The 14146-nt window shown below is 36.0% G+C and overlaps 1 long non-coding RNA gene across 1 annotated transcript in view; it reads left to right on the plus strand.

The window, feature by feature from the left end:
* LOC107985978 (uncharacterized) overlaps positions 1–14146 on the plus strand; it is a 77592-nt gene that overhangs the window by 54496 nt on the left and 8950 nt on the right. The window contains exon 3 of the long non-coding RNA XR_001739867.1: positions 6499–6619. This is a non-coding gene — a long non-coding RNA (uncharacterized LOC107985978). The remainder of the gene's footprint in view (positions 1–6498; positions 6620–14146) is intronic.

Genomic DNA, 14146 nt, shown 5'->3' on the forward strand with positions numbered 1-14146 from the left:
AGTAGCCAGTAGGTGATTTTTCAGCCCTTTGCCCTTCCATTTCTTTCACCTCTAGTAGTCCTCAGTGTCTACTGTTCCCATCTTTATGTCCATGTGTACTTAATGTTGAGCTCCTACTTATAAGTGATGACATTCGATATATGGTTTTCTGTTTCTGCATTCTTTCATTTAAGATAATGGCCTCCAGGACATGATTTCATTCTTTTTTGTAGCTGTGTAGTATTCCATGGTGTATATATACCATATTTTCTTTATCTAGTCCACTGTTGTATTAGTTTGTTTTCATGTTGCTACAAGAACTGCTCAAGACTGGGTAATTTATAAAGAGGTATAATTGACTCACAGTTCCACATGGCTGGGGAGGCCTTACGAAACTTATAATTGTAGCAGAAGGGGAAGGAAACATGTCTTTCTTCACATGGTGGGAGGAGAAGTGCCAAGCAAAAGGGGAAAAAGCCCCTTATAAAACCATCAGATCTCATAAGAACTCACTCACTATCCTGAGAACAGCATGAGGGTAACCGCCCCCATGATTAAATTACCTCCCACTGGGTCCCTCCCATGACATATGGGGATCATAGGATCTACAATTCAAGATGAGATTTGGGCAGGAACACAGCCAAACCATATCAACTGTTGATGGGCACCTGGTTTTATTCCATGTTTCTGTTATTGTGGATAGTGCTAGAAGAAAACCCAGGACATATCCTTCTCAATATTGGACTTGAAAAAGAATTTATGGCCAAGTCCTCAAAAGCAATTGTAACAGAAACAAAAATTGAAAGTGAGGTCTAATTAAAGAGCTTCTGCACAGCAAGAGAAACTATCAAGGAAATAGACAACCTATTGAATGGGAGAAAATATTTGCATACTATGCATCCAACAAAGGCCTAATATCCAGAATCTATAAGAGACTTAAATCAACAAGCAAAAAACAACCCCATTAAAAAGTAGGCAAGGACATGGAATGACACTTCCAAAATAGGATAATACACACAGTCAGTGAATATATGAAAAATACTCATCATTACTAATCATTAGAGAAATGCAAATCAAAACCACAATGAGATACCATCTCACACCAGTCAGAATGGCTTTTGTTAAAAAGTCAGAAAATAGCAGATGTTGGTGAGGCTGCAGAGGAAAAGGAATACATATACATTATTGGTGGGACTGTATATTAGTCTATCCACTATGGAGAACAGTTTGGAGATTTCCCAAAGAACTAAGAGTTGAACTACAATTAGACCCAAGAATCCCATTACTGGGTATATGCGCAAAGGAAAATCAGTCATTCTACCAAAAGGATACATGCACGTGTATGTTCAAGACATTATTTTTTTAAAGTGATACAGAATTGTCACAACATTTTAATTTTTTAAACCCCAACAATATATATTTATTGGTTTTTAGGCAATGTTTTGGAAAGGCACCTCTTTTTCATATTGTTACCATTACTGGAATTCCCCTAAACTTTATGCTTCTAGATCATAAACATTTTCTACAAAAGCTATCTAATTAATTTCCTATTAACTCTCTTTTTCTGCCTATTCTATTCCAGTTGAACAAAAAAAAATCCTGTAAAGGTGTGATATGAAACATGATCATTTTTCACATGAAATAATTTGACAACTACTGGAATAAGAGAAGTTAATAGTATAAGAGAAGTTAATATTTAATAGGCAAGCCTATTAAATAAAGCCAATAAAGTATAGAAAGAAAAGATGATATTTAATACTTTAAAAACTCTCTGTTCTAGTTGGATTTAGGTTTGGTGACACATGCCAGTCTACAGGATTGAATAAATATAGGAATCAAAAGGAAAAATATTACTCTTAAACTACTATTTCATATTTTAATAAACAAGTAAAGTCAATAAGTGAATATCAAATAGTATGTTTCTGGATATCAGGTTGTTGAACAATCCTTTGAAAAGGATGTTATGAAGTAAGCTAAGCTTGGTCCAATTAATTTTTTTAGATTATTACATAATTCACCATTCATGCATTTACCAAGTCATTTATTTAAAAACACTAATATGATCAAATAGGAGAATAATATTCTAGAAGGTGGTCATGGATACTTTTTAAATGATACAGTGTATGTTTAAAGAGTTTTCCTTTGGCAGCAACTTGTCAACAGTCTCTTCTTTACAAAAAATTATCTCGAAAATGACTTGTTGAATTTGAAGCCGTTAATTAAAGATTTAGATGGCAAGCCTATTAAATTATACTTTATAAAAGTGCATGATGTTCAAATGGATCTAACTTACAGTACTTTTGGACAATGCCACATTTATCTACCAAACACTGTTCTCTAGATAATCGACCTTGCTCTCCACTTGACTGTAAATGAAAAAGGGAAGCTGCACCAGACAAGTCCATAACCTCTGAAGAACTAAGTATGCTGACATAGGCAATCCACATATTTGCATTACACATACTAAACTAACAGACAATAGTATTTACAAGGCTTCACTAAATGCTTAAATCTATTTTGTGGACAAAAGGATTTTTAAGTTAATTCATTTTGTGGAGAGAATAATTTAACCAAGTTAGCATTTTGTTGACAGAATTATGATGAAATTCATTTTGTCTGCATAATTGATTGGACAGCCAGCAGAATGCATTTCTCCCTAGAATGAAGAATGTGCAGAGGTTGTCAAATGGCATTTCCTCCTTGGTCTCAAATCATTCTGCCAACAAAATGAATGCAAAATCCTTTCGTTTACAACATCAGTATGGGTGTTAATTATTGGTGAATAGAATTCAAAGTCAGAATCTTTTCTGTTAAATATTGATAGATATTCATACCACTCACTAATGAGATATTAATCTCGCAAAAGGATTGTTCTGGAAGAAGCTTATATTTAATCTGTGTAACAAGGTAGGTGTGTCATTTGTTTTATTCACTTTCAATACTACAAACATGAAACAAACACTTTGGCTAAAATTTTAAATTGAATGGCTGGGGTAAGAAACACCAGGAAACTGTTTAGAGAGAGAGACTGCAAAGATGGTTATGAATAGTACATAAGAGGAAATATTAAAAGCTACAAAACATGTTATCAACACTAAGTATAAATTTACATGGTTCTCTAGATGCACTTTTAATTGAATTAGATTATTATTCACTTAAGCCTAGAGGCCTGCACAGTGAAGATGAGTGGTGCAGCAGAGCACTAATAATAGATGTTTGCCATGATTTCGTGCTTCTCATTTGCATATCACCTATTGCCAAAAAGCCTGGGAATACTGAAAATGGATTCCTACAATACGGGTAGATAAGGCCATTCATAGGACGCATAGTTGCTGGAGATATTCTTCCAGACAGGCTTTCCATTGAGGAAAGTTTGAATCTTTCCATTCTGGATGTTGGAACAGAAAAAATACATTTTGTGAGAGGAAAACAGTTTTAGGGCTACCCAACAGAAGGCGAACTAATGTGCCCGTCATGTGTTAAGAATCTGTGATGATTTAGATTGTAGAGGTTTATTTTCTCTACAAATAAAGATTATATAAGCATTTCATGTCAACTGTGTGAATTGGCTCCATGGAAAATGTGCAGTAAAATATAATTTCAATAGATGCATTATTCACCATAGTCTACTTTAAGCTATCTAGATAATTTGTATCATTAAGTTAATAAGGCCAGGTGTTAACTCTTCTGAGACATAGGATCACTCTTTCTCTAGTACTTTGTGGTTTATTTGCAAACTTCTACCAGCTACAATTTTGTTTTAAAATTACAGACCAATACCAATGTTCAAGGATTAATGAAACAAATACGGACAAAATCAGGTAGTTGTGTTGAATGTTGTTTTGGAATAAACAAGGAAATGTTTCAGACAACTTAAAACCAGTTGAAAGTGAGTCATTAGGGGTAAGAATAAATATTTGAGTACAAAACCAGAATATATTTAGGAAAAAATATATTTTAGTAGGAAGGTTGGAAAAATTGCATAAATGCAAATGAGGAAGCCATTGGTTGGTATAAAATTATGTCATAAATCCTAGATCTGTAAGATAAACTACTTTTTTTGTTTGTTTGTTTGTTTGCTTTTTCCTCCAAATCCCTGCCTGGCATTGTACTGGAAACTGTTTTGCCAAATATATTCTGTGTGCATTTAGAAATCACTTATTGCCCATCTGAAACCAGTTGGATTTGGAAGAAAGACACAAAAAAATACATGATACAAGTTACCTATCTTTCAGTTGATCATAATTAATTTGGCAATATAATACTCATATGATGTATGACCTAACATGATATGGTCTAGAAACATAAATATTAATAAATAGAATTCAAAGCATAATATGTAGGCTAAACATCTTTCATTAATTTATTTTAAATTTATATTTGTATTTAATCAAAACTCTTCCAGAAACACATAAAGCATGTTCATGTAAATTCATTGAGGAAGAAAGTAAAACAAGGGTGAAAACATAAAATTGAGCCAGATACGCATTAGATATGTGAAGTACAAGACTCTAGGCAATTGCTGTTGGTAATTGTCCCTGTGGTTTATTGCTTTCATTAGCTCATTACAATTGTGTACAAATATTTTAACATCGTTACCTTTTCTAACAGTCCCAGGAAAACATTGAGAAAGTATTATTATTTTCATTTATAGAGGAGAGATGAGGAACACTGTATTTAGAGATTATAACAAATTACCGCAAACTTCTGAGGAAACGAACCAAGACTTTAGAGAAGGAGCTGGTATATGAATGTAGCTCTTCTGAGATGAGTACAGCTCTCTTTTCATTCCACTGTATAAGGTTTCTTTGAAGAAATAAAACTTGAGCTGGATTCAAAAGATGATCAAAAGACTGTCTTACACGAGGCACTGTTGAAAAGACACCACTGGACCAGTAGGAAGTAAATACAATTTCAGGTCAAATCTGATGAGTGGGCTTAGCTATTAGGCTGAAGTGTTAAGACTTACCCAAGAAAACAAGGTCTCATGGAAGTTCTAAACAATGGTGAGGTGGCATCTCCACACTGCTTTCAAGTTTTCGCTTTACACGACTGCTAAAATGAAATCAATATGTACACCACTTGAGGTGTTTTAACTTCTTATAGAAAAAGAGTTGCTGCAGAGGCACATACTTCAATGACATTGTTATTGGTTACATTTTTCAGTGGGTTATTTAGAAATTAAAATAGTTCTGTGAGGCAAAAAAAAAAAATCTCTAAATATCAGACAGAGTTCAAATGAAGAAATCCTGGGCTATTCACAGCAGTAAACAAAGGAATATCAGGATCACCAGCAGCAATACCCACCAGGAATGTGGAAAGTTTCTTTAGCCCGGATGTGTTCAACACCACTAACAAAACATAATAAACCTCACCTCATGATAATCATTCTATATGGAGTTCAATGGAGGATATATGAACAAGATTAGGTGTTTACAAATAACAATAGGCTTTCAGGTAAAGGTGGCTAGAATGTATGTACCTACTATGCATTCCTTGAATGTGAAATGAAAGGGATTTATTTGTCTAAGGCCTACATGTAGAAAAACTGGGAATGCAGGAAAAGAGATTATAGAAACCATAGTTTTACTAGTAACGAAGGACCTAACAGATTGGAATAAACAATCTTAAGCCTGTGGAGAAGAAATCCCAGAACTAACCTGACTTGAATCAGAATCCTAAATGGCTCATGAATCAGCATTATCAGGTGTACAGGTTATCTATTGCTGCATAGCAAACTATCCCAAAACTTAGTAGTGTTAAAAAAAAATAACCATTTTATTACGTTCACAAATTCTGTAGATTGGTAATTCAAAAAGTGCACAATGAGGGTTGCTGTTCTCTATGTTATGATGTCTAGGAGCAAAATGGGGTTGAAATGAATGGCAGGGGGCTAGAACAGCAAGGGCTGGTGCAATAGGCTGAATGTTAGCATCCCTCCAGAAATTCATATTCTAAAACCTATTCCCCAGTGTGATAGTATTTGGAGGTATGACTTTGGGGAAGTTATTAGATCATGAGGGTGGAGCCCTAATAAAAGGGATTAGTGTCTGATAAAAGATGGCCCCAAAAGCTCCGTTTGCCTCCTTCTGATAGGTAAAAACACAAGATGGCCATCTGTGATCTAGAAAGTGGGGCCTCATCAGACACTATACCTGCCATCACCTCGATGTTGGACTTCCTAGTCTCCAGAAGTGTGAGAAATAAATTTCTGTTGTTTATAATGCACCCAGTCTATATTTTTCTTAAAATAGCCCAAACAGATTAAGACAGCTGGTGAAACTACTTTAAGGATTACTTCTCCACTTACAGTCTAATGACTGGGCTAGATTAGAAAAAAAACAGGTTCATCATGGATTGTTGACTAGAGTAACTAGGGTGTTCAAGGCAGTTGAGCTTTTTCTATGATGATTCAGGACACCAAGAGTGAGTATTCCCAGCCAGAAAAATGGAAGTTGCCTGGCCCTTTATGACCTAGTTTTTGATATCACTTAACATGAGATCTGCTGTATTCTACAGGTAAAAATCGGTAGCAAATTCACTCAGATTCAGAAGGAAGAACAGAAGCTTCATCTCTCAATGAGAGGATTGCCCTATCAGTACTTCCAAAAGTGAAAATGGGAACTGCATTAAAAGACAAGTAAGATACCCTTCCATTTTTTCTTACAGTAGGATATTTTCCTCCTTTATTGCAATAAAAGACTGGTTTATTCTCTGGAAAGAGTAAAATGTCTGTTCCTGTGTCTGCAAAACACCTGATGGAGTTGAGATCAAAGGTATGAAAGGGAAACTAGGCATTAGGAAGTGTATGTATACTGGGTGCTAATAGTCCCCAGTCCTCCTTTCCCCTTAACCCACAGAACACAGGTACCAGTCTACCCTCTGGGCAAAAGAACTGGAGATACCTTTTTGGGAAATCAACCAGGTTTTGACCTCAAATTTCCTCAGCTAAAAGGCTCACCCAAGGCATCCTACAGCAAAGTATACATTTGAAAGATCCAGTTATGAGCTTCGAATCAATTGTTGGTGTCCAGGTGTTAAATATAAGCAGAAAACCCATGACTACTGGGTACTTGAGGAAATCCTCTAACATTAAAAATAGAGGAAAAGGAAAAGAAAAGAAAATGGGAAGTATGCAGGGAAAGACAACATTTTTCAAAAGCTTGTCTCGAATGTACTCGGGAGAGGAAACATAAATTAACCTATCAATCCAGGAAGTCTAATATCAAGGCATAAGAATTTTAGAGAAAATGGGAGCCAGGCACGTGGCTCGCGCCTGTAACCCTAGCATTTTGGGAGGCCGAGGCGGGTGGATCACTTGAGGTCAGGAGTTTGAAACCAGCCTGGCCAACATGGTGAAACCTTGTCTCTACTAAAAATACAAAAATTAGCCGGGTGTGGTGGCATGCACCTGTAATCCCAGCTACTCAGGAGACTGAGGCATGAGAATCGCCTGAACCCGGGAGTCGGAGGTTGCAGTGAGCCAAGATTGTGCCACTGTACTCTAGCCTGGGTGACAGAGTGAGACTCCGTCTCAAACAAACAAAAGAGAAAAGGGAGATGAGGAGGGAAATCAATGAACTCATTCCAGAAAAGTTTTTCAGAAGAGAAGGAAGTTTTCAGATTGAAAGAGCTCAGTGAATATCCACCAAATAGATTAAAATAGACATGCAACAAACCTATTGTCATATAAATCCAGAGAATTCAAGACAAGCTCCCTAGAAGTTTATAGAAAGAAAAAAATAATAGTTACTTACAAAAGAGTAAGAATCATAATATCTTTGAACCCCTCAACAAGAACAGTGGAAACTAGAAAGTGGTGGAGGAAGGCTCTCAATATTCTGAGGGGAAGTAATTTCCTAACTTGAATTATCTATGTAACCAAACTATTAAGAATGAAAGGACAACAAAGATATTTCATCAGGCAAGGTCTCAAAATTTTACCTCCTTATACCCTTTCTCAGAACATGTTCCACCATATAAAAGAGTGATCCAGAAGAGAAGTGAGCACGAATTAGGGAAAGTACAAGATCCAAACCCACAAAGATGATATAACCAACAAAGATCATAAAGATGCCAGCTCTATACCAAGCACAGAGGCAACAAGTTCAGACTGAAGCAGATCAGAAGCTTCCAGGAGAGAATTCTTCAGGAAGATTCACTGGTAGAATACCTGCAGTCTTTGGATGTTTTGAGAGAATATATAGGCAATGAGGTAAAAGCATTGAGGTTGAATATGTTTTTAAAAAGAATGGAAAACTAAGCTAATAAAAAAATAAGGCAATCAGTAATCTCTCTCTGAAGAGATATAGAAAGGAAGTTCAGGCTGTAGATAAAGTGAGGAAAGGAAAGAAAACAGATTTCTCACTTCCATAGTGGGATATGCACTCCACCTTATTTAAAGGCATTAATGTAACAAGTAAAATAATCATCGGCAAAAGATCAAAGTAGTTGTTTCTGAGGGCTGGGAAATAGGGGAAAGAAAGTTTGGACTGTTATTTTTTGTTTAAAAGAAAACCTTTTTGAAATTTTTGACCTTCTAAATTATACAGATCTATAATTTCTTGTAACATGTAGGGTAAAATTAAAGGAAAGGATCAAAGATGCAAAGGGACAACAATATCACCAGAGTGCAACTAACAGGGTGCCAAATATAGTATTGGATACTGAGCTAAAATACTAGTAATATCTATAACTATGTAAGCATTGAATAATATATATAAAGAGACACACACACATATATATTCCAAAGCCAACTGAAAAGACCAGAAAGATTAATGAATTTTTATGTACATAAAGCTTCTTTTAAATGCCCCAAATCCTACATAACAGATATGTGTGTGTGTGTTTGTGTGTATGCGTATGTGTGTGTGCACGCACATGTGTGTGTCTTCTTTTAAAAGTTCCAAAGTACTGCTTTTACTCTGAATAATAAGGGTTGGATTACCCAATGTATGTCTTTATGGATGAGACCAAAATTTGTAATATATCTTATTTGGTGTGTATCAATGCATTCATTGTCAGATCCCTAGAGTTTTAAAGTGTCATTCACCTATCCAGTAGTTGCAAATACAAATAGAGACTTTTTGTATTTGTTTTATGCTAAGACAATGAAGAAAATATACTGGGTCTGAAATGTTTGCCTAGGGTCGAAACTAATTTTAGATATTTAATATTTTATATAATTTGTAATCACTGGGTACTTCTTGACTTCTTAATTTGCTTAACCAATTAATTAATAATAATTAGAAAATGAGTAAAAAAAGTAAGAAAAGATTTATGTAAAATACCAGTTTAATGAGTAAAATATCTTATGAATATTAATTCATTTTTAAGATAAAATGGTTTACTAACCAGAATATTCCAACAATTGTAAGTGTTGAGGATTTGGTTTCTTATTAGTTTTCATAAATGCTAGAAAAAAGTTTGAATGATATAAAGGATGTCTTCAGTTATTCTTTCTGCTAGTCACTCTTATCACAAACCTAAAGGAGTCGTATAGAAGTAAAGAGGCTGATTCAACATAAATAAGCTTATTCCTTTGAAAAGAAGCTTTGTCAGTTGCAAGGACACCATTGTCTCCAAAGACAAAGGCATGAACTCTTAGTACCCTGGACATACAAGGAATATTACATTTCAAAAAAATCCTGCAGAAATGACCCTGGAAAATTGTCTTAATGTGGAAACAGACCAACACAATTAACTTGTTTAAGTAACGGCAGCTGTGTCCTAAAGTGGTTATAGATGAGAATAAACACACAGAAACAGAGTCCCAATTAATCTCTAAGGGCATAGCAGATATATCTCATAAGAGAACTGTCTAATTTTCTACAAAATTTATTATTTCTAGAAAAAGATAAATTTTACACTAAATTTATCCATTACTTTTAATTTTAAAAATACAGCCATCCCTATCTTCCCTGTCATAATTATTCTCCTTTTTAACACCACATAATGAGGAAAAAGCAAATCAGTTGTGTCATTATACCTTACTGCTAAACAGAAGCAACACAGCCATTAATGACTTTAACATATATTCATGTTTTCCTGGCCACTGGGAACTTCATTGATCTGTTTCTCCTTGAGGAGGCAAAACATGTCTGTTAATAACATGATTCTGAATTTCCTTCTCTGGCTGTTTATATTCAGAACAAAATTTTCAAGTACAGCGTTAGAGGTGAGGCACCTGAGAGAAAAGGTGTCTTTAAAAGGGTGAATGGCTCCAGGATGATTTGTTCTCACCTTTTCCACCCCAAGCCATATGCCTGCCTTCATTACAAATCAATCCACCAGGTGGCGATATAAATATGTAACACTTCAAAAACAGTGACAGAATTTTTAAATATGAAACAAAGGGTTCATAATTTCTATAAAAAACACAGCACTAAGAAATTCACTAAGTATTGTGATGCTGAATTTGGACGATGATTTTAATCTGAGATCTGAGAGTTTAGGTAATTATCAGATACTTAGTTTAGTAATTTAAACTCCTAGCACCCCCTAAAAAAAGATGGATTGTTAATCTTGCTTGAACCACTTAGCTAATTGTTTCAGCTCTCGATTTTTTCTTGTCAGTTCAGGATAGTCTTGGTCAAGTTACTTAACCTCTTCATATCTCGTATAGTCTTGTAATGTGAAGAAGCACTAATAAGTTTGATTATAAAACACTGCAAATTTTAGTGCTGAAGACTACATTGCTTTGAAGTCACCAGAAGTGTGACAAGTGTTCAGACAAGTACATAATTAAACTGTCCAAACTGCGTTAGCTATTGATGGCATTTAACTAGGGCTGACTTTTCCTATCAAACTATGAGTCTGAATTATAGTGGCTTCTGTAACTCCCAAAGAATTTACCAGAGTAGAACTGGGAGAGGGCGTTTAAGTCTGAAAGCTCATGTGTGTCTTTAATGACAGTAATTAAAACCATCAGATTGAAATCTCATCAATTTCTTCTTTTGTTAGAAGAAATTATAACTCTGTCAATTAGTGTTTAAGGAAAATGTTGAATGGCATTACACACAATGACAAATCAATAGCACTATAGTTAAAAATGGAATCCTTTTTGGAACTTGAATGTCCTATTCCTTACCACTCCTCAATGATAACTGAAGTCACATTAACATCTGTGCCTGAATTTCACCGATGCCAAGCTCTCACCTGCTCCTGTAAGAATTTTATTACTACATAAGTGCTTCAGAGAATCCTCAAGATGTGATTTAACTGCATTCCAAACTAAGCCTGGTTATTGTTCACAATCCCTGGTAGCGGAGCCTGATCCTTGAAGCTGCTAGTAGCCCCTAGAGCACAAAGGGGCCACTTAAGCAGAACTGCTTTGCTTCCTCTCATCTGAGATACCAGTGACCCTTTCGTACTAGAAAAGTAGAAATCACCTCAATTATTTACCACAAAGGGAATTTAATGTAGGGAGGTAGTAACTTAAGTGATGTAAGTACTGAGAATTCCAACAGGGGATCCTGAAAAACCCTTAAGATTAGCAATAGCAGCAAGTCATTGTGCCCCTAAACTGGAAGGACAAGGAGGAAATGATATAATCAGAATTTGGAATCATGGTTATAAGGTGGAGGTTGAAATCGCAGAAGGTGAATCTATCAGGGAATGGATTCATGGAAGAGGTACAATCTCTGCACAAGAAGCTGCCAAAAGCAGAGAAAAGGTCAAGAAATACTTAGATTTCTTTCTCTTCTTCCATTTTTTCCCCACATACTTTTTATTGTCTTTATTCAACTGGAAGCCAGCTGACATAGGAACTGACAAGGGGGAACGCATGATGCTGCAATACAGGGTATAGCTGATGGAGAGTGACAGATGATCGGAGGGCAAATAGATGCTGTATCTGGATAAGATTGGCTGCTGTTGTTGGGACTGATGCTCGCCAAGCCTAGACTCTTAAGCTGCAGACTCAGACAGCCCTGCTGGCTGGCAGCTGCTTCTGTGTCACCCACTCTGCTTCCAGGGGTTTGAGTTGTGTGCCCTACTTTTAGAACAGAAGTTGGTAAAATTTTCTGGAAAGAGCTTCAGAGTAAATATTTTAGATTATGGGCCATACCATCTCTATCACTACTCAGCTCTGCTGTTGTAGCACCAGAGCATCCATAGGCAGTCAGTAAACAAATGAGCGAGGCTGTGTTCCAATAAAACTTGGGGATTTTTGTTTTTTGTTTTATTTGTTTGTTACAAAAACAGGTGGAAGGCTGGGTATGGCCTAAGGGCCATAGTCTGCTAACTTCTCTAAAACAACTATTACTATTTTTTCAGGACTCAGGACATTTCAATGCAAATTCAAGGGAGTAATATTCCTTTCCTTTATGATGCATGGTTAAGAGAGTTTCATAGGAGAATTCCTTGACCTCAGAGTATTAGAACCATAACAAGAGTCTTATTTCTCAACCTTACAACATAACCAATGCTACATTTATTTATCTTTTAAGTCACATTATAGTAGACTTGGGGTCAACATGTCAACAGCTGGTCAGGGATGGCAGCACTAGTCATTTTGGAGGCTAGCATTTACTCCTAGAGTCACAGAAAAATGTGGAAGTATAGAGCGTTGAGAAAAATGCTTTCAGTCTTTATGCTGTCACTGTCACCAATGATATTCTCATTATTCAAGCAACACACTACCTTGAAGTCTGGCAACTCCACACAAGCGGAAGGATAACAGGGTGGGGAGAGTTTTATATTCAACTCCCACACTCCACAATTCACACTGGTCTCCAGTCAGTAGACCATGTTGCTGAGTGGGATTCCTGTGCTGTGATCCTTTGTCCCTGAAGCAAGCTCTTTCTTGAAGATCTCCCTGAATAGTCCAGGAGGGTTGTATGTACAGGAGATGTATGTACAGGGTTGTATGTACAGCTGTACTTAAACAGCTTTATTTGCCATAGCTCAATCCTAGTGGAAACCCAGGTTCCTCTTCGTTAGGGACAGTCATTACTTTGTTTTTGTTTGGTTTCAGTCCTTAATTCAATCAGAGACAATAAAAAGACTTTGGAAGACAGAACACCTTCCAATTCCTTAGCTTGGGCCTATCAGAGTCATGATTTTAGCTGAATTAGGACATCTGTTATGCTTTATTTGGCTTTATAGTCATCTGATAACTTCCTAAAGGTACTCAGAAGCAAGTGGGTATCCTATGTTTGATTTTCAAGACAGGTTTGTAAACCCTCCTGTACATACTTGTGGTTCAAGGCTGATGAAAAATCATTCTGATTCTAAAGAACTTGTTTTAAAGGTAGAGAAGTTAGTTTTAGGATGAACTAATTGGTGGTTGGTGTAGGATTTGGGGAGTGGAATTTAGTTGAATTCGGCTGTTTGCATCTGCTTGTTAATGCACTTCACTGCTTTTTTCTGCAATTAGAGAAATTTAAGCTTAGATGGCCTAGAAAGAACTCTGTAATTAATCAGATTCAATGTGGATGTTGGAAAAGCAGTAAAAAGTCTGGGAAAAAAGGAGGCAAGTAAAGTGGACCTAGAGATTCATGAAATAAGCTGATTACATTTGTTACAGATTTGTTATACCTATATTATAGGTTTGTTGATTTATTACAGATTTGTTATATATTCTGTCAAAAACAAATAAGCCAAAACATGCCAAATAGATATTTTGTCCTTTTGGTCATTCTCTAGGGAACAGTATGTCCTAGCCTGTTTTGCAGGGATTTAGGTTACAGCTATGTATGGCAACATACATACAGTCACATTAGAGCACATACACTAGTCTTGCCCAAGCTTGGCCAGTGTGATTCAGTTCTCCTATTCAGATTTGCATATCCCCTTAATTTCTGGGGAAGACACTTTAAGGCGTGGACATGATCAGTAGTTCTTTGTCCAGTGACTTTCTCCCATACTGCACAGGATTGGGTTTCTATTTAAATATGTCAGGTCAAAAACTGAATGTGTAGCAATCAGTGTGTTCGATATGACAGAATTCTTGAGAGCAAATCTGGTTTCAGAGGTTTGTATTTCTGTACAATTGATAAATACAGTAAACAAGGAACTAAAGGCATGGAGTCAGGGGAAGGAGTCTATGAGATTACAAAACAGGATAGAAGCCAGAAAAGAAGGATTTGTAAGAGCTCCATTCATGTGTTATATTGTATAAAATGAAATAGGAAAACTGTGAATAAGGCAGTAAATGCATGTCAGG

The sequence above is a fragment of the Homo sapiens genome, chromosome 2 (assembly GCF_000001405.40).
Source record: "Homo sapiens chromosome 2, GRCh38.p14 Primary Assembly".
Taxonomy (NCBI): Eukaryota; Metazoa; Chordata; class Mammalia; order Primates; family Hominidae; genus Homo; species Homo sapiens.